The sequence below is a fragment of the Homo sapiens genome, chromosome X (assembly GCF_000001405.40).
Source record: "Homo sapiens chromosome X, GRCh38.p14 Primary Assembly".
In the NCBI taxonomy this organism is placed as follows: Eukaryota; Metazoa; Chordata; class Mammalia; order Primates; family Hominidae; genus Homo; species Homo sapiens.
The window spans coordinates 105,818,055-105,845,983 of record NC_000023.11 but is presented as its reverse complement, the minus strand read 5'-3'; the positions used below and the strand labels follow the sequence as shown (position 1 = coordinate 105,845,983).

General features: G+C 38.0%; 1 protein-coding gene across 5 annotated transcripts in view, besides 1 other annotated feature; it reads right to left on the bottom strand.

The window, feature by feature from the left end:
- NRK (Nik related kinase) overlaps window positions 1–24,198 on the bottom strand; it is a 136,825-nt gene extending 112,627 nt beyond the window's left edge. For 4 of the 5 annotated variants that reach the window (NM_198465.4, XM_006724632.4, XM_006724633.4 and 1 more), the window contains exons 1-2: window positions 23,082–23,445; window positions 14,865–14,930 (exon numbers count right to left, since the gene is read on the bottom strand). In NM_198465.4, the coding sequence (NP_940867.2) occupies window positions 14,865–14,930; window positions 23,082–23,138 (123 nt within the window). In that variant the 5' untranslated portion in view covers window positions 23,139–23,445. Of the gene's footprint in view, window positions 1–14,864; window positions 14,931–23,081; window positions 23,446–23,926 lie in introns of those variants that run through there. The other variant, XM_011530887.4, reaches the window with a different exon arrangement.
- Window positions 23,564–24,544: an enhancer, noted in NCBI's record as "H3K4me1 hESC enhancer chrX:105065433-105066413 (GRCh37/hg19 assembly coordinates)". NCBI's record gives its function as "activates a minimal SCP1, AML or CMV promoter by ChIP-STARR-seq in naive H9 embryonic stem cells {active_cell/tissue: H9 hESC(naive)}" and the evidence as "EXISTENCE:reporter gene assay evidence [ECO:0000049][PMID:30033119]".

Sequence of the window (27,929 nt, the reverse complement as noted above, 5' to 3'; positions counted from 1 at the left end):
AGGGGACTGAGCAGGCAAAGGCTCTCCTTGGCATGTCAAGGAGAAAACTCTTCTTTTTTTCTTGACCCAGCCCCTCAATGAGGAGAGAATTACTCACCTGGAGTCAATGATCCCTACAGCTGCCAGCAAAGCCGCATTCCTATGAAGCTCTGAAAGCACTACAAAACATTTGCCAGAAGAAGCAGGGAGGAGTAGCAGCTGTTCTGGGACCAGAAGACCACCTCCTCCCCACCCTTTGGCAGCTTCTTAGATAGGCTGATCTGGGATTCTCTGCCACACCACAGCAGGTGGGAGAGTCAGTTTCTTTCTTGTTTCTTAACATGACGTTGTCAGGTGGCAAATCTGTGATGGGGGTAAAGTTGATTCTGTGTAAGGTTGGCAAATAAAGTAAAGAACACGCCCATTTACATTTGAATTTCAAGTAAACTTTTTTTAGTATAACTATATGCTGTTGGGACATACTTACATTAAAAATGTATTTGTTCTTCATCAAAATCAGATTTAACTTGGCATCCTGTATTTTTATTTGCCAAATCTGGCAACCCTAGTTCTAAGGTCTCTTGCATCCTATTTCTCTCTTTCCCCACTTACCAGGCTCTATTCCTTCACCCCTCTATCTGGTCATCAGGGCCCTGGAATATAAGATTTGAATAAGGAAAACTACAAAATATAGAATTAACCAACAAAGTTTGATTCAGCACAGTGCTACTGCAGGGAATATAAAAGAAACAATGAATATTATCTAGTCCCTGCCCTCATAGCTTTTTTTAGAACGAAAAAATTTGATTGAGGCTAAGTAAAATTGCTTGGGTCCACATCTCATTCTGCATGTTTCAATGCAAATAGAGGGCAAGTGGCATCATTAGAAACTCAAATGGCTTTTGCTTCCCTATAAACCTAGAGACACATCCTCAGGCACTAAATCTCTGTTACTGTAACTCAATTCACAATACAATTCACGAATTGTAGTTTTCTACCAAGTGCATAATGATATATAAAATGCAAGTAAATGGCAAGATGATTCACAACACCAACAGAACTCAAAAGATATGAGCACTTACAATGGAGCTGGAAGCACATTACTATATACACCAGCTGCTGAGAGGCAGATACTTTGCCTATTTAAAAATCATAAATTCTCCTGTTTTGTAGAGTGAGGAAGGCTTTACAGCTCAGCCTCAATGGAATTATGAAAATAGCTACTTTGCTATTTATTTCTTTAAACAAATTTTCTTGTATACATTAACCAGCCATATGGATTTCTGTAAACCCTCTCCTATGCAACTCACCTATCACTCATACCACTGCCAGATTCAAAAAAGGAGAGGAAATGGGGGGAGGTTTATCTGGAACGTTCTGGCCTCATTCCTAGGTATCCCATCTGAAGGGCCTCAGGGAAGTAGGTTGACAGTGAGTTATACTTCACTAATCTTCCTCCCTTGAATCCAGACATTCAGATCTGCCTGAGAAGTCCCAAAAAGCATTTGGATGTAATGTAAAAGATTCATTTTCCATTTTAGTAAGGCTATGTGTTCCAGATTCCAACAAACATTTTGGTAATTTCCATCAAATAACCAACTAATTCTGTCTGTATATTTTGGGGTGGGTGCAGTAGTGGTGGTGGTGAAGAAATCAGTCAAACCAATTTTCACATTGCACTGGCTGGGATATACACAGACTCTGCTCTCTACCAGTATCATCTCTCTACTTCACACTTCTTTTAAATTAGTAGGCACCTTCCTACTCATGTATGTTCCTCCTTGCTCTTAGTGCAGCAGAGGGGAATATACCACTAACTCTTATAGAGTATAATATTTTGTTAAGTATGAAAGGGCATAAATCAAGCATATACATATGGTGACTAACTGTTCAGACTGGCAGTGGTTTCCTAGGACATGGGACTGAAAAAGCACCCACACACACAGACACACAGACACACAGACACACACACACACACACACACAGACACACACACACACACACACACACACACACACACACACACAGAGTGCAGGACCTGCAAAATAAACATTACTAAAGCTTTTAGAGTTTAACATTTCAAGCCATTAATTTTTTTTTTGAAATCTACTAAAATGTAAGGTAGTTAAAAAAAACCATTACAGCAACTGGGAATTGTAGGTAGAAGGCCACAAGAAGCAAGGGCATTTGTAGGCTCTTATTTATATGTGTTTTTCTTTCTAACAGCTGCCAATCCTCCAAGTCAGGAAATATTTACACATGTTCTAGACATCTTCCTGATGGTATGAGACTCTCTTGAAGCCATCCTTATACTTGGCCATGCCAATAACACTACAGCAAACTACAGTACCCAGAGAAAAAATATACTCTTTCAAGCTTCCTAAATGACTCATTCAGCAGAAAGTAATAAAAAAGTAAGGCTAATATTTCCATCCTTTGGAAATATTTATCTCTACACAGTGCCACCTTTTTATAGTCAGAATAGAAAGTTACTTAGGTGGTATAATTTTGAAAGGCCAACCTGTCTCCAGCATTGGCTTAACAGGGTGTCATTACTCAGTCCTTTCCATCAAGGCACATCTGCAGAGAGCCCCTGTAAAAATAGTCATTCCGAGGGGTCGGGGTCATTTTTGCACATATCGTTTTAGTTCCAGAAGAAATTGTGTCAAGTACCCATATGTATAAGGTATTGTGCTAGTCCCAAAGAGATCACAAAGGTGATTAAGATAGATTTTTTGGACATAGCCAATGTTTCTCATAACATCTACTTGTAGAATGATAATACTACTAATAAAAGGAGTATATGAGTGTGGGCAACAGAAAATATACAAAACAGTCTGCATTGAAATTTCTGCTTGCCATTTATCCCTTATGCCCTGCTGCCTAATATGTACAATGCACTTTACTAGGTATTCTAAGAGTAGATTTGAAATGAAACAGTCCAGGTTCCTGCCCTTAAAGAAATTCATGAACTAAAGACTAACGAATTCTTAGGCATCCACCCCAAGCTTTGTAACTGGTTTTCTACTGTCATTGAAACACTTTGTTTTGTGGAAAGGTGGGAGGAATTCAGCTGCTTGCAAAATTCTTGTAGAGGTTAACCACCAGGAAAGTCTTAAAGCTGTAATTTCTGTTCAAACCTGCATGCTCATCTGATGAGAACAATATAAGAACAATTTTACTTAAATAGCACACCTTGTATTTACCTCCTCACCTGCAAACCCCTACTGTTTCCATCCACCTGCTTAACTCTCTGCCTCTGCCACCCTCTAACCTTCCAAGCTATAGCCACTTAGACCTACATGTAATTTATTCAGCCCAGACTCTGGGATCTCTGTTCTCAGGCAGGGAACAAATGAGGGTCCCCTAAGTTTTACATATTTTAATATTCACTCATGTTTTCAGAAATACATTCATTAGAAAATACACAAATTGTTTTTTAATGTGTTGATTTTTAAAATTCCTACCAATCAGAAACCAATCATGTACAAGCAAAGCACTAACTTTCATTGATCCTTTGTTGTTTCCCTCTTTTCCAGGGCTCCCAGTAGAAGCAATAAAACAGGAAAAACACCCTTGCCTCAGAGATGGGCCCCTGCCCACAAGAAGAGAGTGAAGAGGTTGACAGTAAGTACTTCTCTACCTTCTCATGGCTTCCAGGAGTCTGAGTAGAAATTTAGTCATCAGCTTTGAGTATCCTGTAAAGACTATCTGCTTGTCCACATCCATTTCTGAAATCTATTACGTTCCAGAAAAAGACCCTAAGACTAGACTGTCTTAGTGCCCATCATGAAGGAAACAAATATGTTGGAGAGACACATCATTAAAGATCTTCATTACCGACCTCAGCTCATTAGTTTCTTGTAAATTTTTGCACTTGGGCAGATTGTTTTTTCAATTGGCTAATCTAATTGAATGTTTTTTGACTTTGGTTTATATCTGTTGAGCTGAATATACTATATTATGATTAAGATACAGACCTCGGGCCAAGCAAATTTTGGTTTAAATCCTGACTTTGCAAGGCAATATCTTAGCTTTGTGAACCTATTCAGTAACTCAGGTTCTTGAATCCTGTTTGCTCGTTTGTGAGATGGTAGGATGATGAAAACAATGGTAGCTACCTCATAATGCTCTTATGAGCTGTAAGCACTCAGTAAATGTTATCCATTTTTAGAACATTGAGGTCACTATCTCTAAAGTGACTAATATTTAAATCTCCATCTTTTTCTCACCCAGTTCAAACACTCAATAATTTTATTTATTTTATTTTATTTCTCAGAGTCAAGAAAAGCTGTCTTTCTCTGAGGACTCTTAGACTTCTCCTTTTAGATCATGGTGGTATTTTTGTTTTGTTTTCTCTTCAGAGTTAATGATTTATACAAAATGTTACTGGCAGTGCTTAGAATATAATCAATCTTCTTTCCCTCAGGGGACCCTGAACAATCTAACCTTCTTTCCCTAGTCATAAAGGGACTCTGGCTAAGAAGGACAAACCCAAAAGGAGCTTTCTTAGTTTTCTAACACAAATTACACATAAACTACCGTCATATCATAATTTCTACAATTGAAATAACACAAAATTCCCACTTCATTTTCCCTCTCTTTATGCTCTGGTAGAGGAGGAATTTATTACAACCTGGGTGTAGGTAAGCAGGAAAAAATAAAACTGCAGGATAAAAATCTGTTTATGTCTTTTTATATTCTTTGATATTTTAATTTAGTCTTACTGATAAGCTGCTTTTTAGAAGCCTGCCTTCAGAGTAGCCTCAGCATCATAAAATTATAAGAGCTTCCACTTTTCTTTTGACACCCTCAGAGAGCTACAGCAGCACATTAATCTCCAAGTGCGATTTTGGCACCACCCACACAACTACCTTAGACACAGATGCACAAGTATGGTAGAATGTTGGAAGTCCTAAAATCAAGTTAGGACTATTCTTATTTCAAGAGTAACAACTGTTGAAGTGCTATTTTCCAAAGAGTGTTTCATGAAATGTGATGAGGACCTAGTTAACTAGTTTTTAGTGGTCAACTACTAGACGATAAACTAAAGCAAGAACTTGTGATACTTCAACCACCTTAACAGAATTTACTCTGAAAATCTGACCATAATTATATAACTCTCTCTCTATGTATATATATATATATACACACACACACAGACACATACATACATATATATACGCAAAAGCAAAATAAAACAAAATTTGCTTTTTGATATATTAAAAAGTACATTATTACTTCTAACACTGCCCAACCCACCCTCATCACTCTATAAAGTGGTTTATAAAATATTGTACAGATAAATTTTCCTAGGACTAATATATTAAAAATAGCATTAAATATATAAGCTTAGCAGCAATCAGGCAATTTTGTATGCCTATTTTTAAGGAACTGCATTATTTCGCCATGGAGATTTATACTTACATTTCATAAAGATTTTCATAATTGGGATGTTTTTATCTGGTTGACCAAAGCCACCATGCTATAAAGAATTTATTAGTTTTGGCTTTTGTTTAGAAATGTGTATTTGTCTCCAAATATTTAAATTTATTTTTCCTGCTCCTGGAACAACTTTATAACAATCAACTGGATTAAGCATCTGCAGAAATGACATAATATATTTTGTGTTACCCAAATACACCAAATACATAATTTGAATTACTTCCCAATATATATCTGTGAACATATTAAGCAGATTAGAGTAGTTGTGAAAAATAATTATGACTTCTTGGGAGCAAAAATCCCATGACATTTACTTTCCCCTTTCATACCTGTCAGCTACCAACTGCTTCATCCTCCCTCAAGATTTATTGGGAAGCAAAAGAAAATTTTGGTATAACATAATAAGAAAAAGTAAAGCCTGCAACTCAGAGGCCTGGATTCTATTCCACAGTTGGAGAGTTGTCACGGCCAAGATAGAAATATTCCATTTTTCTCCAAGGCCTGTAAGCCTCAGCAATTTCCACTAATTTGGTCCCCTGAGTCTCAATTTATTTAGCCTATGCTGTTTTTTTCACCCCCATTGCAAATATTCAACCTGTTTTCTTATTGAGGAAAAACTTGTTCTTGGAGTCTCATTCTTTAGAAGCTTCATTAGACTTTCTACATACAGGAACAAAAACAAAAAAACTATGTCCCAATTTCCTCTTTTCATTTTTTCCAATCTCTCTCACTCCTTTCCATTACCCATCACTCCCTCTTCAAATAAAGCGGTCACGGTCATACAGAAAATACTTCCTTCCTTATCTCTACTAAAACTAACTTAATAAAAATGACCGCTCCTAAAAAATGTATTCTGATCATTCTAACTAGCAACTAGTATGTAACATGATACTTGGGACATACTGTGCATTCAATAAATGTATTTTTTAAATTTTTATTACAGAATGGTTTACACATTCAAATCAATGTTAATAGGTAAATTTAATGTTTTCTATGCTAGAGCAGCTTGAGGGTTCCTTAAGAAATATCAATCCCTACTTTTGAGGCACATTATCACAATGTCACAGGATGAAGGTGGAACCAAGACATAGCTCTGGACTTGTGGCACTGTACTATGAAGACACAATAGCCTAGTATGCCTGTGGCCTCAACTCAGCTTCAGCTTCAGCTCCTGCTTCAGAAACTTGCAATGTATAATGAAATGCATAGTGCTATGTGCTTTAAGGGGTGCTCAAGCATTATTTGTTGGCTGACTTAATTAAGCTATATTTGCAAAATGGCAAGGATGTGAGGGAAACTTTTCTACCTAAAAAGAAAGCATTCACAGTGCTAGACATTTGGTAGGCAAATAAACAGTATAATTTCAGCCTAAAAGGAAAAATACTCAAACCCCCATCCAATAGGCCTAGTGGCTAGGCAACCCAAATGTCAGCACTGTGTTTCTGAAATGTAATTTAAAATATCATAAATTGTATGTCATCAACTTTGAGGACAACATTCCTTTCCTTCCTTTCCATTCCCATTCCCTGCACCAACTTCAAATCCAGAAAATATAACTAATAAACATAAATCTCAACTGTCTGGTGAGGTTTGCAAATAAAAGCAATGTGTCAGGCGGTGATTTATAAAACCAAATTTAAGGGTGATGCATTGTTTTGAAACGAAATTTCCATATTTAATTGTATACTTTCAGAGTGCAAACAATTCAGGAATTTGCTCCTGACTGTGACCTTCATATACCTCACTTAATCTACTGACCACCAAGAAGACAGATGACTCCTGTGATCTCTTTCAAGGATGGATGCTCACATATGGCCATGGTCTGTTTTTAGGTGTTAAAACAATAAGAAACTTGGGGTGGTCCCTTTCTTCCACCAGCATTTAACTGAGTTTCAACTAGGCATCAGCGTACATGGCAATTAGGCTGTATGCCCAACTGTAGAAGTTTACTCTATTTCAGGTGAATTTTTCCTTTGCTTGAAATGGTTGCCTTGAATCCTTTCCCATTCCTTTTTCTGTCCTCACCACCTGCAAATGGTAACGTAGGAGTAGGTGACTGATATTAGGGGTGTAGTCAAGACCTCATGAAGGGCCAAGGCAAACTCATTCATTCTGGATACCAATTCATTGTCTCACCTCACTAGTATTAACCTTAACAAAATGGTGTTAGATAACATATATAATGAAGCATTCCTACCTTCCCAATATACCAGCTACCCAGTTTTACATTCACATTGAGTGTCTTATTAGTTACTGAGCTAAAAATCAGGTCTCACTATCAGGTGGTAAAACAGAAGAAAAGAATAGAAAAACATGTTAAAAATAATTTTATTTGGTAAAAAGTGAAACTACTCCAGCTAATAGCCAATAATCAACTTCTACTGTGTAAGGTGGAGAAGCGACAATAGGATCACTATAATTATGCTGATGACAGTAAGAATAAGAATAGGTTACATTTTACTGAGTGCCAGGCACTGTGCTAGGTGCAATATCTCAGAGCCAGAAGAAAGCCTGGAGATTATAGAGTCTAATACATTTGTTTTATTGTTGAAGAAATGGGCCCAGAAAGTCAAGAAACACGTTTACTGTCAGTTACTGGGAGAGTCAGGTTGCCACCTCCAATTTTGCCACCCTAAAGGTCTTGGTCTCTTTCTTAATACTGTGGTCTTTCTGTGTCTATTGCTCTTGGGGAAATTACTTTTTTTAAAAAGTACCATTAAAAATGAGTTCCAACCTATTTTCTTTTTTCTAATATGGCCTCACATGGTCAAATACTAAACATTCCTCCAATTAAAATGACGACCCATAAACTATGAGACTAGCAGTTAAAGGTGAGGAGAAAACTATATTCTCTAACTCTACTGGGGCAAAAAAGAGAAGACCAGTACTTTCTCTCCTAAAAAGAGAGAAAAATAGAACCCACAATTTCAAGTGAGGCTTGAACTGGCAGGAGGTGGGAGAGGGTGAGAGGATAGGCATCTAATTAGAGGAAAAAGAAGGAAAGGAAGAGGATTACAATAGTAGTGTGAGACTCAGCCTTCATTTCAATGTGCACAGACTTCAGCAGACAGCTGGAAACCTGCCAGGGAACGAAGCCTTGGAAACAAGCTGGAAGACATTGGAGAGACTTTAACCAAAACAAACTCCAGCAGGGGATGTGGTTGGCAGCACTGAAAAAGCAAAGGACTCTATGAGTCACTCTGACATTAATTTTGAATGGTATCATGCTTCTATTTTGCAGTACAGGTTATTTATGCAACATTTGGTACTGTCTAATACACACATATATATAATATGTTAAATATACGTACAGATATATATGTTCTGTACTTAAATATTATATTACAGACATTAGAAAAGAAAAAATCCAATATCTCACTATTCTAATCGTTAATTCACCATTTTTTATCTGCATATTTTAACATAGCTGTAACTGGGGCACAAATATAATAAGGAATACTTTACTTAAGATCTTAAACATAGTTCTATGCTGCTAGATAACTTCATAAATATTGCTTTATAGGACAATGATATATTAGCTGGTTAAAAAGTAATTTACTTCCATCTTTTTAAACTATTGTAATTGAACTTTTAAAAAATAATAGCAACAATAATGATGGCAATAACTGCCGTTTAACAGGTATTTACCATATTCCAAATATTACAAATGTGTACATATATGTATATTGTTTTGATATTTTATAGCACCTCCCAAGGTAGGTATTATTAGCCCCATTTTATAAATAAGGAAACTTAAACTTAGGTTAAGTGACTTGCTCAAGGTTATAGCTAGTTAATGGCTAAGTAAGCACTGAATCAGGTCTGCCTGGTTCAAAGCACGCCCTTTTTTCACCACAATATGCTACTTTTCTTCTGCAATGTATATCTACATGTTTGTCTATGTCTGGGATGTTTATCATATATTTCCAAAAGTTGAATTATTGGTGTAAAGAGGATAAACATTTTTAAGTGTTTATTTACATACTCCCAGATTGTTTTCCATGAGGGTATTGTCAGTGGATAGCACCACCATCCCAAATATTTTTATAGTAATTAGAGGTAGAAAAAAAGAGGTAAAGTCAATGAGTGACAGACGGAAATCATTCTGGTGTAAATGAAGTTTTTTTAAGCATCTACCTTCTGTAACAAGGAAGTTTGTACTTGGAAGATCTGATGTTAGAAATTGTTCTCTATCTCTGGATCTGAGTAGGTACACAGAAAATTCTTAGGATTTATAAATGTGTACAGGAGGATCTAGCATATGGTATATTCTTCATGAAGAGTCAGTTAAAAGGAATTAACATGGACTTTTTGCTTTTGATGAGGATGTGAAAGTTGGAAAGTGTGCCACATCCACCCTAACAACAAGAATAAGCTGAATAATCTAGCTAATCGTAACTTTTCTTCAATCTATAGAGAAGTCTCAAGGCAACCAACTAGGCTGAGGTCTGGAGAAAGACAAGCACCTGCAAAAAGAGATGGGACATGAGCATTAGCTCACCTGTGGCTGTAGAGGGAAGACAAGGTCACAACGGAAGCAGGTATAAAGAATTCAACTAAATTTTTCTTTGTTTTTTAATTTTTGTGGGCACATAATAGGTGTATATATTTATGAGGTGCATGAGATATTTTGGTTGCAAGCATGCAAATTTTTAGTGAACTGCTAAAGAGCAAATGTGGGTTAGCATGAGAGTATAGAACCCTTGGAAGCCATAGACACAGGACAAATTTATACAAACATACAGATTTATGGTACAGATCTGATGGAGATGAGAAGCCACTGCAGTGGGAAAGGTAGGAAACCAGGTCCAGTTCCTTTCCTTTTCATGAATAAAAGTCTTAAGCCCTAGGGGAAAGGCAGCAAAGTGTATTCTCCCCAGGGTAAAGATGAAGACCTACTGCAGCTGGGGAAAGGTAAAAAAAAAAAAAAAGTCCTCCAATTTTGGGAGAAGGGCAAGAATTAGTTGTGGGCCCAAACAATTAGAAGTATCCTACCACTAGAAGAGGGAAAGGATAACTAAGAAAGTCTCACTCCTGTGACACAGAGGCCCAGGATCTTACAAGACTGAGGTTGAAGCAGAAAAACAGAGCATTTCTACCTGCCCACACCACCAGGCCAATGAGAACTTAATAAGAAGCAATAGCAGTATACCATTAGGGGAGGGCAACAGCATGGAGCAAGAACCTCTTTGAAGCACAGATACACAAGGAATATGGAAAGTTGAGAAAAGAACAGGGATATTAAGAAAAACTCTCCAGAAGACCAACCCCCACATATGCACAAGGTATTAGAGGAATCTGAAGCTGGTAGTGAACTGAGAGTAACCATATCAACAACATAACTCAAATGTAGTTTATCTTCTTATTAGATTGAGTGAATTCCCATATAAACAACCTAGCTGAAAAAGTGTGCCCATTTCAAGAAATAAATACTATTTACTTTAATTTCTACTGTTCTACATACTATGTCATTTAAACAAAAATTGTGAAATAAAGTAAAATAAAAAACATTCTCAAGAGACAAAGCAATCAACATAACCAGCCTCTCAGAGATGACTTAGATGTTGAATCCATCAGACAGAGAATTTAACATAACTATGATTAATGCATGAAATGCTTTAGTGAAAAATATGAAAAACATGAATAAACAAATAGGGGATTTCAGTACACATGTTAACTATTAAAGAGTCAGGTAGAAATGCTAGAAATGAAAAACAGTAATATAGTTGAAGAATGTCCTTGACTCTCTCATAAGTAGACTTGAAACAGCTGAGAAAGGAATCAATGAAAGTGAAGATAGAAAAAAAATTGATCAAAACTGAAACACAAAGAGAAAAAAAAGAATGAAACACACACAGACACACTCCAAAACAGAACATTTAAGAACTGAGGGATAATATCAAAAGGCCTAACACATATGAAATTGGATTTCCAAAAGAAGAAGAAAGCAAATAGAGTAGAAAAAATATTTGAAAAGATAAAGGCCAAAAATTTCTCCCAAATAATGAAATATGTCAAACCACATGTCCAGGAAGCTAAGAGAACCCCAAAGATCTCTAACCATTATCTCAGATAAATATCCTTTCAACACACACACACACACACACACGCACACACCTCCAGACATTTCATATTTAAACTGCTGAAAAACAAAGACAAAGAGAAAAATCTTAAAGGAAGCCAGAGACAAAATATAAAGGAGCAAAGGTAAGAATTACAGCAGACTTCAGAAACTATGCAAGTCTGAAGACAAATTGGCATGTTTAAACTGCTGAGAGAAAGAAAAAAATAATAACTCTCAATCCACATTTTATACACAGTGTGAATATCTTTCAAAAATGAAGGAGAAATTAAGACTTTTCACACAAAAGCAGATAATTCATTACTCAGAAGCCTTGGACTATAAGAAATATTAGAGGAAGTTTTTCAGGCTTAAGTTGTACACACCAGAGGGAAAGTTGGATCTACACTAAAGAAATGAAGATTCCAGAAATGGTTAAAATGAAGATAAACATAAAAGACTCTTTCTGACTTTTAATTGCTGTAAAAGATAATTGATTAGCTAAATTTTAAAAATAGTAGTAGTGAAAACAGGGAAAAGAGTAAGTATAGGGAAAGTACAGTAGTTTTGTGGGTTTGTAGCATATGTAAAAGCAAAATGCCTGACAGCCATAACCCTAGAGTACACCAGTTGGGAAACCACACAGTGAAGAGGTAGAATACTCCTTGAATCTAGACTGTGATTAGTTTAAGATGTACATTGAAAATCTTGATTGTGGTGGCAGTTATATGACTGTATGCATTTGTCCAAACTCATAAAGTTGTACACTTAAAAGAGTTAATCTTACCAAATATATATTATATCCCAATAAACCCTGATTTTAAAAAAGGATATTCACATGCATAACTTACCTTTTTACCGTCTTACTTTTCTTCTTTTGGTGCCATCACAGTTCATTATCACATGAATGATAATGAGTAGCCATCTTTCTGTGTTGTCTAATTTTAACCTTGCTTCTTACCTTATATGACTCTGAGCTTTTATTTCTCACATCTGGTGGCTCTATACATTTGAATCAGAACAAGTATATACACACACTTACACACACACCCTAAGGAACTAAAATGTGCATACAGCCATGGAGACTGTAAATGTACCATAAATATTTTGTCTATGTATAAGATGTAGGTATCTATGTATAAGATGTAGGTATCTATGTATAAGGTGGCAAAACTGACCTAGATCGCACAAATATTAAATAATCATTCAGTACAGGATGGAATTGAGGTAGCCTAAGCAATATATTTCAGTCTATATTATATCACCCTCTATAGCTTATTGGTTCTGTTAATAGATATGATCAAAATGGTTTGAAAACATTTGGTCATGAATACTAGCATTCCCTCTGTTCCCTATATTCACCAAGGTTCTTTCTGTTTTTAAGACCTGTCCACATGCTATTTCTACTACTCAGTTTCTATGCTATGGGTGCTTTATTTAGTTTATTATTTTATTATTTTTATTTTTTAAGCGATAAGGTCTTGCTCTGTCACCCAAACTGGAGGGCAGTGGTGTAAACATAATCCACTGCAGTCTCAAGCACCTGGGCTCAAGTGATCCTTCTGCCTTAGACTCCTGAGTAGCTAAGACTACAGGTGCACACCCACTGCACCTGGCTAACTTTTTCTTTTTAATTTTTTGTAGAGCTGGGGTCTTGTTTTGTTGCCCAGGATCATCTCAACTCTGGCTTCAAGCAATCCTCCTGCCTTCATCTCTCAAAGTATTGGGATTACAGGAGTGAGCCACAGCACCAGGCCCTATAGGAGCTGTTGTGCAAAGTTTAAAAAGCATACTCCTTTCCCACCTGGGCAGATGAATAAGAAAAGAAGCCCCTCTGGGTAGATGTAGTCCCAAAGTTGCAAGACTTGGCAAGAAAAAAGGCACCCTTTTCTGAACTAGAAAGAAGCCCCTTCTCCTCTGGGCTTATACTAGGACACCTCTATACAACCTATATGTGGAGGACCTGTGATCAGTCTGCTGTAAGGATCAGCCTAAGGACAGTAATCCGGTTTTTGAGCAACAGGCCTGGGGAAAAAGAACACTGCAATTATATAGAACATTACACAAGATTGAGAAAATGTCAGTTCCCCATATTAGAGAATAGAAAGGTACCTGATCAGTGTGATATGGCTACTAAAGCACCCCATCCCCAAACCAGCCCTTAACACTGTCCATGCCTCCACCTAGAATGTATTAACATCATCCTCCACAACCACACCTTTTCTTGGTTACCTCATATTTATCCTTCTGATATCAGTTTAACGGTCACTTTCCCTTTCCAGGGAGTGGGAGATCAACACTGACATTTCAATCTAAATTAAGCCCCCTTGCTTTATGCTTTTACATCACTAAGAATTTTCTTACAGATCTTATATTACAGTTGCAATTACAGTCATCCTTCAGTATCTGTGGGGGACTGGTTTCAGGGCCTCCCGTGAACACTAAAATCAGGGCATGCTCAAGTCCCTGATATATAATGGCACAGTAATTTTTTTTTGCATATAACTTACGCATATCCTCCAGTATAATTTAAGTGATGACTAGATTACTTATAACATTTAATTCAATGTAAATGCTATATAAATAGTTGTTACACTTTATTGGTTAGGGAATAATGACAAGAACAAAAGTCTGTACATTACGCATTTTTTTAATTTTTGATACAATGTTGGTTGAATCCATGGATGTGGAACGCACAGATACAGAAGTATACAGTTATTTGTGTGCTTACTTATGTAATGTATGGCTCCCCCAACAAACCCAACACATATAACATATACATACTTACTCACATACATTTCTCAACCATAAGCCCCAAAAGAGAAGGGACTTTATCTGCTTTGTTCATCATTTTATTCCCAGAGACTATCACAGCATCTGCACATACTTAGTGTTTACCATAAGTAATCACTAAATAAATTCAGATTTTTTCTTGTTAGATTCTTTAGAAAATTTTATCACACATGTGCACACTCAAGTACACAGTATGATATAGAATGTTATGAAAACATTCCTTTTAATAACATTCAGTTTTCAGTTGAATGTGAGTATTTAGAATGGTATGGATGTATACTATAAGACAAGTGATATCTTATTTGGGTATATCTTATTTGAATTACTTCAATTTTCCATTGGTGACTTTATTTTCTGCTAATTTTTAGATGTTATGTTTGGTTGGTTGGTACACTATAGATTAGCCAATCCATTACTTTTGTGATAATAAACAGTAATTCTTACAGGTGTCACTGGGCTATCTAATTTGATTTCTCTCTCAAAGTGAAATGCCATATTTTGGCATTATGTGATTTGCAGTGTCTGACTCACAATCTTTGTTGTCATTAGAAAATGAAGAATGAATAAATAATGTAAGTCAACTTACCAAATAGATTCTGCCATAAGTACCAAGGCCAATGGTTTTATCTAGTGAGAATATTCCAGTTGGATCCTGCAAAAAAGTAAAATAAAAATTGTTAATCTTCTTAGGAAATTAGGTGAGCATTCAACTATCTTTTTTTTAATATATATACTTTAAGTTCTAGGGTACATGTGCACAACGTGCAGATTTGTTACATATGTATACATGTGCCATGTTGGTGTGCTGCACCCATTAACTCGTCATTTACATTAGGTATATCTCCTAATGTTATCCCTCCCCCCTCCCCCTACACAACAGTCCCCAGTGTGTGATGTTCCCCTTCCTGTGTCCAAGTGTTCTCATTGTTCAATTCCCACCTATGAGTGAAAACATGTGGCATTTGGCTTTTTGTCCTTGTGATAGTTTGCTGAGAATGATGGTGTCCAGCTTCATCCATGTCCCTACAAAGGACATGAACTCTACCTTTTTTATGGCTGCATTCAACTATCTTAAGTGGTATTTCCAATCTGCCTTGTTCTGTTAAAATTTACATGGGAAGAACCTAAATGTCATTTACCAAAATAATAGACATGTCACAATCTCCTTGAACTGACTATACTCATTCATAAAAAAGAATAAGCAGTATGGACATTAAGTAGTCGTGTAATTATTTATCATAAAACTGTAAAATGCACACAATTATGTAAGGCTGAGGCATATTAATGATGTAATTAGAAAGATAAAATAGAAATAAGTTCATTTATTTGCAATGGAAGTACTCTTTTAATATTCTTCTTCTTTTTTTTTTTTTTTTTTTTTTTTTTTTTTTGCGACGGAGTTTCACTCTTGTTGCCCAGGCTGGAGTGCAATGGCGTGATCTTGGCTCACTGCAACCTCTGCCTCCCGAATTCAAGTGATTGTCCTGCCTCAGCCTCCCGAGTAGCTGAGCTTATTTTGTATTTTTAGCAGAGACGGGGTTTCTTCATGTTGGTCAGGCTGGTCTTGAACTCCTGACCTCGTGATCCACCCGCCTCAGCTTTCCAAAGTGCTGGGATTACAGGCATGAGCCACTGCGCCCAGCCGATGTTATTCTTTTGAGTGATAACTAGACAAGCAGAAAATTTAACATGCAACAATGATGACTAGATGTTGGATACAAAGTTTAGATTACTTATTTGAATTATAGGTTGATGCAAAAGTAACTGCGGTTTTGGCATTAGAATAGTGGCAAAACCGTAATTACTTTTGCACCAACCTGTAACAGCTCTTAAAAAAGAAATACCATCACTAAATATGAATAACAAAGCAAGATCATGATATTAAAAGAGCATCATTTTAAGAAAATTAGACAATTTTTTAAAAGTTAAACTTTGCATCTGCTAAATACCTGTTCATGGCACAAAGTGACGTTTTCTGTGGCTTAACCCTAAATGTGGCATCATAGGAAACAAAACATAACATGTTTTGGGATAGAGTTATGAGGCTTCCATATTTATCTTCAAGTATTGTTTTCTTACCTTTAAATATGGGTACTCCTTGATTGTTCACCACAAAATATGGTTTCTTGAATTTTATCACTGTTTGAACTTTTAGTCTAGCAGCCTATTTTGCTATTTTAGCAAAACTTATATAAGGCATGAGTAGATGCCAATTTATACACAAAGTGGTAAGAACATTGGCAAATTCTTGGAAATTCACATACCTTATTGAAAGTTTATTTTATATACACAAACGTTGTTTAATCCTGTTTGAAAACATTTTTATTGCTGTGATAAATATAAGCTAAACAGGAAAACTATTGAGCATATGCAACTTAGATGAATGAAATTATAAACTCCTTAAAACTGCCGTGATATTTGTGTAATCTAGCAAAACTGTCATAGGAAAATGACACAGCTTTGGGATTACATCATTCAATAAGTATTCAACTGGACAGAGAGTCAGAAGACTTGAATTTTAGCCCCAGCTCTACCATTAATTAACTATATGACTCTGGGTAAGTTATTTACTCTCTCTGGGATTCAGTTTTCACATACATAAAATAAAAGTCTTGTGATAGGTGATCTCCCAGCTCTAAAATTCTACAGATAAAAATCATAGTCTATCAGTCATTCTAAAATCTAGATGTTTCCACTGAATTGATAAAAGCATTGTTAGATAAAGCAGCAGCCTAGCAGCTTAGTTTTTCAAAATGATCATCAAAGTTAAGATCACAATACACAGTTATCATTTCAAAGAAATAGTTCCAGAAATATACTCCCAACGAACATGTAATTTATCTAAAATGATAATTTTTAGGATCTAAGAAGTAAAAATAGATCATTATATTACCCTTATTATTAAGCATATCACTTTTGTTATAACTCATTGAAAGATTTATGAGAGAAAAGCCAACAAAAAAGTTACTAGGGACTGACTTGAAGACTTTATCACTGTAGCATATTTATGTGATGGATATCATTGAGGGATTTATTTTAGACATTGTTAATTCTGGAGAAACAGTCTTTGGCCATCTGTCAAAATAATCAAACATGTTAGCTGATTCCTATTGGTAAACTATTCTTTGCTATAGTTAAGGCTGCATTTTAGCTGGAAAAGATACCATATATTAGAGAATTATTGTAACATCTGTACAAGCTTTATTTTTGAATCTTTGAGCACAGTCTTAAATTTCTTTATTCCTTTCTCTAGTCCTCAATAACATAAATACTTTACCCTGATTTGAATACAGTTACCTAATTATTCAAAAAAGACACCAAGGAAATGGACTAGAATAAAATGCCCGTCAAAATTCATGGAGGCCTCATATCTATGTTGGGAAACTTGATTTCTGCTCTCGAATGACCAAACCATCTTTCATACTCATGTTTAATAAAAGAACATTTTAAAAATTTCCTCTTAAAGGCAGCTCAACTTAGTATTCATATATTCTAAGACTATATTGTTTTCTTTAGTTCTATATGCTATTTTTGTTCCCCATCTCCATGCTACTCTCTTTCAAGACTAAACGTTAAATTGGGGAAAAGAGGAGAAGGACTATGCTTAATACTAGGTTAACAACGCCAAATTCCTCATATATTTTGCACTTACAGTCAGAGCAAGTTTATTCTGGGTTTCCAAGGAAGGAAGAATTGGAAAGGAACAATCTTTTTGGTCACTGTGAAAATAGAAGTTCCACGTCAGAGGGGTTTCCATAATTATTTGGTCCTTTCCTCTGCCCTGCCACCTTGAGATAAGAAAACCAGAAGGTAGATGTTCGTATCTATGACTGCTATACCAATTTGGAGATTATTTGGGGGTTTGGTATGTCTTGATGTCCCATTTGGGTATACAAAATGGTCAGTAAAGAAGAAACTAATTTCTAGTTTGTCTTACAATAAATTACTAAAAATCTAAGTCTTAAAACATTTTTGAACCATAAACTGTTAGACAAACCTGTTGTACTTTCGTTATCTCTTTCTATGCATCTAAATTATCTCCTGCAGTTTAAAAGTCCTAGTCTGGCTGCCCACTGAAATCTCAAATTCTGGGGAGTCGTTTCTGTCTCCTGAATTCAAGGGCAGGGAAGAAAGACCATCTTGATGGCTAATTTTAATAAAAGCCAGGGATGGGAGTAACTGGAAGGAAAAGAGCCAATAGAAAGCAGTGTTAACTGGTCAAGGGAGAGAATTTCAAAGCAGAAGCTGATCCACAGAACCAAATATGGCAGAGACTAAGGAGAAAAAGGAACCAAAAATGGTCAACATGAGTAGCAAGAAATTTCAAATTTAGGATAGTAAAGGAGAGTGAGGAAACACGCTCCAGCAGTCAGGCTGCAAAAAGAAGGAGACTGCACAGTACCTTGAAGGAGACAGCAGAGGCTTTCCTCCTTTTATTTGTAATATTAGAAACAGCAATTTTATGAAAAGAGTTTATGGAGAGAGAACATGAAAGGGATGGATATGGCAAGATGAGTGCCTGAGTGAGTTTCAGAGATAGTCAGAGGAATGGGCTTCACAATTTACATGGTGGCATTAAAGGGGAAATCTCTTCATCCAGCCCAGTGTTTCTCAAACTGTAGACTGTATAGACTCTCGCTACGTGAGAATCATCTGGGTAATACTGTTAAAAATACAGATTCCTTGGAATTACGATATCAGAATTTTTGATCATGGGTCCCAAAATCTCCAAATTATTCTTGATTTTTGTGCGCTGTTCTTGTGCACTACCATATGAAAACCATTGCTCTAGAAACTGGAAAAAAGACTGAGAAAATAAACTGATGTGCAGTGTTATGCAGAGGTGATGCTCTATATATATGTAATTGAGGATTATGCTGAATATTTCAATTATAGTTAACTGAAATGAAGGTAAAACTGCTTCTGAACAGGGGGCTAAGGAACTTGGTAAAGTGGGAAATTTCTCATGACCAAATGTGGATAGCAGGCCTGGTCTGGGTAGAGCTGGCAGTTATATTTAAATATAAGCCTAATGTATTTCAAATATAGTTTTTGGATCATGTGCTATTTCAGATAACCTCTGCCACTACTGTCCCCTCAAGGCCTGTCTAATCCTGACCCCAATATAGATTAGGACTGCACATGGCAGTGTCAAATACCAAGGCCACAGCCGTGAGGAATGTCATTACCATACTGGGCACAGAAGGCAAAGGGGATAGTCATAGTGAAAGACATGACAGATTTGGAGAGGAAGAAATAGTTTCCAGTCTCAAGGACACAGGCATACTAGGAATATATATATATTATATATATATTATATATATGATAATATATATAATATATTATATATAATGTATATACTATATATTATCTATTATATATATGAAATATATATTATCTATTATATATATGATAATATATATTTCATATATATTATATATGAAATATATATTATCATATATATTATATATGATAATATATTATCACATATTATTATATATATGATAATATATTATCACATATATATGATCATATATATATCTTACCATATATATATAATCATATATATATCTTACCATATATATATATATCACCCAAACATATATATGTATATATGTGTGTGTGTGTATGTGTATATATATATATATAGAGAGAGAGAGAGAGAGACGGAGACAGAGAGGCATACACGCACATCCCTAGGTATTGCTGGTGGGCAAGGTGAATATACATACACACATATATTACAAAGATATATATAAAGACATAAAGCTTTGTACTTCTCTTTTCAGAAAGGAAACACAAACCACAAATCTCTGCACTTCCTTTTTTGTTTTTTCACCTATAGAAAATATTTATTCAATAGAAAATCAGAAAATTACAGTAACCCATTAATTAACAAACATAATGGAATTGATCTATTGTAATTACATTGGCTCTCTTATTTTGTCTCTGATTTTAGTGCATTACGTGAAAAAGTTATATCATTGTATAAAAGTGAATGTTTTAATGTTGAAAGTTATATAATTTTGTCACCGTTTCTTGTTTCCTAGCTTTCATTCCTGTTTACTCTTTTAGGTTTAAAAATAATATCTATCTAATAACAAAAATACCAAATAACCTACCAATTTCTTCAATTCTCAATTTGTAAAGCAAGTCTATCCTCCCTCAAGGGTCTTTGTCTTGTGGTCATTTAGCTGGCTAGGCCTGCAAAGGACATAATGTATCAATCTTAAACTAGAGTCATATTTATTTATTCTTCCACATTCTGAATGTTTTTTCTCAGTTTGCAACTCCAATGTTTGAATCTTCCCTCATTGTCTGGCTGTTGCCAAATTGGTATACTTGGTGTTTACAGATGGCAATTTTCTGACCTCCACATATGTCCTATTGAGGATAATTACTGCAAGGGATACCATCATATGAAGGTTTCTTTACTTGCTTTATCAACTCTACTTTGCATCAAAATGCAAACTTCAACACAAGTGATTAAGATGTCTCTTCACCTCTTCATTTGGTTTTATTTCTTCAAAAAGTCAGAAAATAAATCAAATGTAAAGAAACCCCAAATCGCTGAAAAATATAACTCAGTGACCAAAGCAACAATAACTTTTCCATGACTAAAAATTTGATAGTAAAGAAAATTCTAAAGGGCATGCTACTGCTCTTCTGCTAGATTTCTTAGGGTTTGAATCAGGGTGTTTGAGGACAGGGGAGAATTATGCATAATTTGCTCAGAGAGTGAAAACCCACACATGAGACAAAATGGCTAATGTATAAAATTTAGAAATTGTTAGAATCTGAGGACTTTATGAGACTTTCATTAAGTCTGGAAAATGAGGCCAAGCATCAATGTCCTGAAGTTTTGTATCTTCTCGCTACTCCCCTTACATTAAAAACCAATCTTATCTTTCTACGCTCCTCACACACCCACTCCACCAACCTCCAGGAAACTAATATTCCACTGAACTGCAATGTAAAGACTGCAGACTTTCCTCTTATCTCCTGGGCTCCACCAAATTCTTATGTCCCAGGGCCATGACCGGGTCAGGTAGTCTGGGCCATTTCCCCACATTTTTTTTTTTTTTTTTGTGGCAGTAAAACCTTTTCTTCTTTTTTTCCTTGGGTTTGGAATTCCCTGTCCTATCATTTCTATGACGTCTTTACCACTCACCCATTTAGTCATATTTAGAAGGGAGTTTATTTCAGTTTGCCCACCTGCCCGCAACAGTTTCACATATCTGCCCTAGTTTGCTTTTTTTCTCTTTTCCCAATCATAGGCAGAGAATGTTGGAGGAAGGGTAACATTTTATTCCTTGGTTTTATACTTTTACTTGGGTGCAAATCTAGTCTGAATATGAAAGTTCTGCTTAGAAAGGAAACCACCAATTGAGGCCTCCATTTTCCGGAAATCTCATGTATGCACACTGAAAGGAAGAAATTCTGGGTGCATGCAGAATGAGAAAAGATTTAATTTTAAAAAGTTCTGTGACATATTTTATGAAGCTGCATAAATAATTGCAACACTAATATCTGTAATTCAAGTTTGCACTGATTTTTTTTAAATGGCAGAGAACAATTTGGTAAAATGTTACCCATGTGTACCACCTTACCTCTCCACATATAGCATCTAATGTAAAATTATATAGGGAAGGCTTTGGGAATGCCCTATTTTTGAGGGAGGCAGGCTTCTGTCATAATCAAAAACACATTCTTTAAATGCCAAATATGTGTAAAATTAAGTCAATCGACTTTGAATAGTCCTATAACCTTAAGGTTAATATTTAGCTTTTTTCAAAGCAAGCAGGCCACTGCCCTGAACTACAGTTGCCTGGTGATCATTCCAGCGCGGTGCCTGCTTATTCCCTTTCGGAGAATCCAGGGGCCTTTTGCATTCAAGACAGGGTGCGAGTGAAATGCCAATCTAAAAAGGGAACTTGAAACACGGATTTGGGTGGGATCCAATATTAGCCAGAAACCAGATGCCAATGAAATAAACTGCGCTGCCAAAATAATAAGTCTACTAATTACGACGGCGATAATAGCTTACCAATCAATTACAACTCTAGAGGGAAGCTGGGCATTCGGGAAAAGATGAGCCCACAAATGAAAACCACAAGAAAAAGCTAAATCTGGTTGGGTAAGGAACACAATATTAAAAAAAAAAAAAATCGAGTGTGCAGAATTCACTCCTTCCCCAAAAGGCGTCGAGTTCTTTCACTCTCACAACACTAAATCAGGAACATTGCCCTGGCAAGAATAAGGTTTTAGAAAGTGTATTAGAAAATAAGAAAAGTGGGACTCAAACGCCTTAATTTTCTAGTCGCTGTCACCTAAAGTAAAGGTCACCCCGCAAGTAAGCATCTCCCATGGCAAAAGAAGCAGCAAACGATGGGGCGGCGGGATAACAGGAAGGAGGAGTACTCTCAGGAAGCCACCCGACGTTGCACTTTTTGACCTCTGTTGGAACGAGCGGGCTAGGACAGGTACTGGAGCTCCGCTAGACAAGGCGGGTCACATATTTAAAATGCCCCGCTGTTTAGGGTCCGCAGCACCCCACTGCCATCTCTTTCTCTGTCTCTCCTTCCCACCGCCCCGTGCCTTTGCCTTTCGTTGGAGTTTGGTGCGGTCCCGGTGCCCAGGGGGCGCCTTTTCCGCATGCCGGCTCCCAGGATCCCCTTCCGCGCCCGGGGGACCCGTCGAAGTCCTGGTCTAGCCCGTTTTGAGGGCGTCCGCTCCCTCCCTCTGGTACGCAGAACCCGCCAAAAGAGAGCATTTCGGGGGGCGACGGGCGTCCTCTACTCACCGGCAGGTGGCCCAGATCCGTGACCTCCCTGTCCCTCCAGCCCCCAGGTCCCGCCATGGCTTCGAGGAGCCGAACGGGAGCGGGCGACTGAATTGGGTGCGCGCAGAGTCTGAGGTGGAAGCGGATGAAGAGTTGAAGGGAGGAGAGAGGAAGGAGGAGGGCGGGAGAGAGGAGTCTGGGGATCGGGGTTCGTGGCGTGGGAGATAGAGGAGGGGAAACGTGTAGTGAAAAGAGTTGGGAGTGGAGGGAAACCGGAGTTTGCGAGGCGGGAAAGCAAGTTGGGCTAAGGCGAGAGAGGAGCCTGAGCGTCAGTCCTGGAGACGAAGAAGCTAGAAGGGTGCTCCGTGTCGAGAGCGCTGTGTCTGCCCCGTCAGGGTGCGCCTCTTTCAGGGTGGGGAGGGGGGCGGTGCAAGGAGAGGGGACCCGGGAGCAGCTCGAAAGGGATTGGTGCAGCGTCACGTCGCCAGGTGGGCAGCCGCCCGGCGGGGAGGCAGGCTAGGAGGGCCACCGGCCGAGGGAGGTGCTGAAGGACTATAACGGTTTGCGAGCAGGCCCTTCGCGGCCTCCCCCGGCCCTCCTGCCCCCTCCCACGTCCACTGCTGCGCCAGCCGCCCCTGCCCCCGCCCCCGCTGGCGAGTGTTCCACAGGAAACTTTTTCCAGGCAGCTGCCAGCCCCGGAAAACCGGTCTCGCTCCGCGCCGCTCCCAGTCTGGGCCCCACAGCCCTGCCACAGTCCAAACAACCCGCGCCCTAGACTTCCCAAGAAACACTTCTGACTTTTCTAGTTGGCTGTTTTCTCTTTCTGTCCCTCTGATTTTATCGCTCCATTTCTTGCAAAGACCTACCGAGTTACAGAAGGAAATGACTTGCCATGGGTTGGGAATCAGTCCTAGGCGAGCACCTATTTGAACAGAGGAAGGCACCGAGTACGCCCCGGGGCTGTCACAGCTTGGCCTTCAAAGCCATTAGCCGAGGGCAAGAGCAGAATGGACAGAGCCGCTGGGAACTCTTCTCCCGGCAGGCCTTATCTCCTCTGGCCCCAGGCTAGTTCGTGCCAGGTCCCAGTCGTTCACTCAGAACAGCACCTGTTCTCAGGTGCGCAGGGTTGAGTAAGACTGACTCGTCTCCAAAGCCCGGCCTGCCCTGGGTCCTAAGTTTTGCATATGCCGTATTCGCAGCGCGCGGAGAAAATTCCTGCATCCCTTCCAGCCTCCAGCGTTCCGGCCGGGTTTCATTCATTCGCTCATTCATTGCAAAACTTTTCCAAGTGCCCAAGTTGTTTGCTTCCGTTTTCCTTTAAAGCGCTGGGGGACTGACATATGGCTTAAAAGAATCTCACAAACGTGATTCAGCTTTGAGAAAGAGCCCCTTGAAACATTCCTGGGAAGGGGAGTCGGTGCATAAACTAACCGCATTCTAAACTCATGCTCTGCAGAGAGCACTTTAGTAAATGTCCCGACACTGCTTACTTTCTCTGGAGCTCCCAGACGGCATTCTGCGCACCCTAACTCCGGGGTCGGAAAGCGATGTGGGGGGACTTGTTTCCTGTTTCTTTCTTTATTTTTTGATTAATAATTACCTACCTCTTCTAAGAAGATTTATACGAATAATTCTTCCCACTGACCTAGAGCTCTCCATTTCTGACTCATTCTTCTAATTTCTGTAATATCTTTACATATTGGTAGATTTTGTTTATTTCCTGTCTGTTTCAATGCCAGAGTTTGACCTCTTTACATTCCTTAACTTTCAAGTCTCAGTGAGCTGTGTAATGGCCACAGCCTGTGTGAGGAACCGGGTCTCGCTAAATAAAGAAAATTCTCTGTTAACGGTTGCAGAGAAAACCAACCACTACCTTCCCCCAAAAACAAACCCGGGTGTGCTGGATCGAATTTTCTCGATAATTCAAATATGATACATATTTGAAATTACACTTTCAGCTATTACACTTTCCAATAATTCAAATCTTGACAATTTTACCACACAAAATAAACCGTTTTAAAACACACTTTAAGAATTCCTGGATGATCAGTAAAACTCTACTGAATCTTCCTAAATGTGAGTCTGAAATTAACATTTCTTAACTAGAGAAGGGCAGGTGAACTAGTTAACAGAAAATTACACTTTTACATACACATTTAGTTTTTAGAAATAAGACACGGAGTCAAAAAATACAACATTTAAAGGAACTCTGAAGAGAATCTTTGCTAAAGGGAAGAGCTGTTCATAAGTCAAAACTTTTTTTTTTTTTTTAACAATACGATTTGCTGAACGTGGGGTGTGGGGGAAAATGCCCCGTGGCCCCTAATGGCAAAGACCGTTTTAGCCTGTCTAAAGGGCAAGTCCAGGCCAGGAAAACAATCCAGGCTAGATCATTGGGCTCACTAGTTGCAAGGCTCTGTGGGAGGCTAGCCACTTGGAGACTCCATAGGGATTAGCCACATGGCTCTTGGGACCGCCCCCCTCCCCAGGTGCGGGGAGGGGAAACTACGTGTTTGACCAGAACTTGACAGGGAACTTACAGATTTTTAAATTTATTGTTATTTTCAAGGGAGAAAGAAGGCATGGAAGAGCATGGAAACTTTACCTTGTAAGCTGGCATTATGGGGATTTTTGTGGCCAGCTTGGGGAAGGTCAGCTCCTCTAGCAGAAGAGAAGGCAAATAGATGGCCTCCAGGCATGGGGCTGTGACCCGAGCACAGCCTTGAAATAGGGCATTTGTTTTCCAACTTCGGGACTTCTTTTCCTTTCACCCTATTAACCATCATCTCCCTGCCTCCTTCCAACATGTTCTTATTTCTCTCTCTCTTTCCTGACTTCAAACTTTATGAAAATAACCCTAATCTGTCCATGGTCAAGGAATTTCTCAGATACTGTTTTACCCTGAAACGATCTCTCTGCCAACATTACACGTCCCATATTTGTACCATCCCCTTCTTCTCCAATCCATTCTGTTATCTTAAGGCCATTAGCCCTTTGGAACTTTTAATTGTTGGTATATTTTAATAGCTAAAATTGATTAAGAGCTTACTGTATGCACCAGACTAAGTGCTTTGCATGTATTATCTCATTTAATTTTGTTGACAATTATTCTAGGTTTTAAATTATTGCCCCCAAGTGTTTAGTCAAGGAAATTGAGGCACAGAGAGATGAAGCAACTTGCCTAAAGCCTCACAGCTAGTAATTGGAAGAGCCTGGCTTCCAACTCAGGCAGTCTGACTCCAGAGTCCACTTGTTGATGACTGTTGAAGGGCCGGTGCGGTGCATATTTTGAGATTGTGTGAAGAGGAGCCAAATGCAAAAAAGCCTCGGGGTAAGAGAGATCAGATGGCATTAGCTAGGCCCCTGAGCTATCCAGTTCCCCCTTCCCCCTTTCAGCCCTCAAGCCCTCCTAACAGAAATAACAGGATTTATAAAAAGAAATGGAACCCAGTCATAGCCTAAGAGTAGGTAGTGACTGCTTAAGCAGATATCACCAAGTGGATCACCTCAGAGCGCAAAATCACGGTTTTTCAAGCTAAGAAACTTCCAGAAAGTAAAACAGCAACTTTTAATGCTAAAAAATTAAAATGTATTCCCATTCCTTCCCGTGAGTTTTTTTGGCTGGGAACAAACCATATTCAGTAAGGACTTGAAGGAGGCTGTGTTTGTGAGCAATCGTGCTTAACAGAACTGAGATGTTACATGGCAAGGTTACAGACAGTAGCCCAGTTGGTAGGAGTACCATGGACATAGTGCCAAGGACATGGGTTTGATACCCTAGAGGATCAGGATGCATCTGTCTGCTCTTTGGCCCTTAATAGCGCCTCCTGCCTTGCCAATTCGCATCCCTTTTACTGGAAAAACAACTCCAAAGTCAGTACTTCCATCTTTGTACACAAAGAACCACATATTCATTTTGCTATGTAAGTTGCTAATCACGTAATCTGAAGAAATTACACTGCAAGGGCATGTGTGTATTATGAAAAATATAGATTCAAAATATTCTTGGTTGTTTCTTTTTTCGTTTACACATTTAAGATTGGCAATATTTACCTTAATAGACACTTATTCAAAAATTTTATTTAAATTTGTTTAACATCTCATAAAACACTTTATTAAAATTTTCAAGCATACAAAAAGGGTCTGCCATTTACTGGTTTTCCTCTACTTTGACACCTCATATATGAAAATTAGTTCTTCTCTTAGCACAAGCTTGCTGTGTACATCAGAGGGCCCTGGGTGGGAATGGTGACATAAGGTTATATAGCAATCTTTTTGGAAAGAAGAGTCCCACATCTGTGATTCCAAACATTTCAGGTCCAATATCTTCCAATATACTTGTGAGTGGCTGGGTAGCCTCTCTGAAAGATCCTCCTAGTAGAGGGAGGAAACTTTTGGGAACCACTAGGCTAAAGGACCTTCTTGAGGTTTTCTTTCTTCTTTTTGGAGACACCTTTGCAAACTGTAGGATTTCCACCACAGTTCGTAACACTCCTGGCACCATTACTTTTGATTTTTCTTACATGCCACTTCTCTGGGGACAAAGCAACAAGCTACCTAATGTTTCTCAAGCTAGAGGTCATGAAATGTGCCTTCTGACCATAGTTTGAAAAGCTTCTGTTGCTTGTCATGGAATGCTCTTAAGCTCAGCATGATTTGAGCTATGCTTGTTTCTAAAATGAGGCCCTGGAAACCCTCAGCATAGCTGAACACGGGTCTTCTTGCTATTGAAAACTGGAATGCTACTCTAAAAAAAGACAATTGTTTTATGAAGACAACTAAAACAGGGAAATTAAGGCCAAAAGTCAGATAGATTTCTGAAGTTGGAAAGAGGCTTCCTTTTTTTTTTTTCTTAGTGTTTCCTATCTT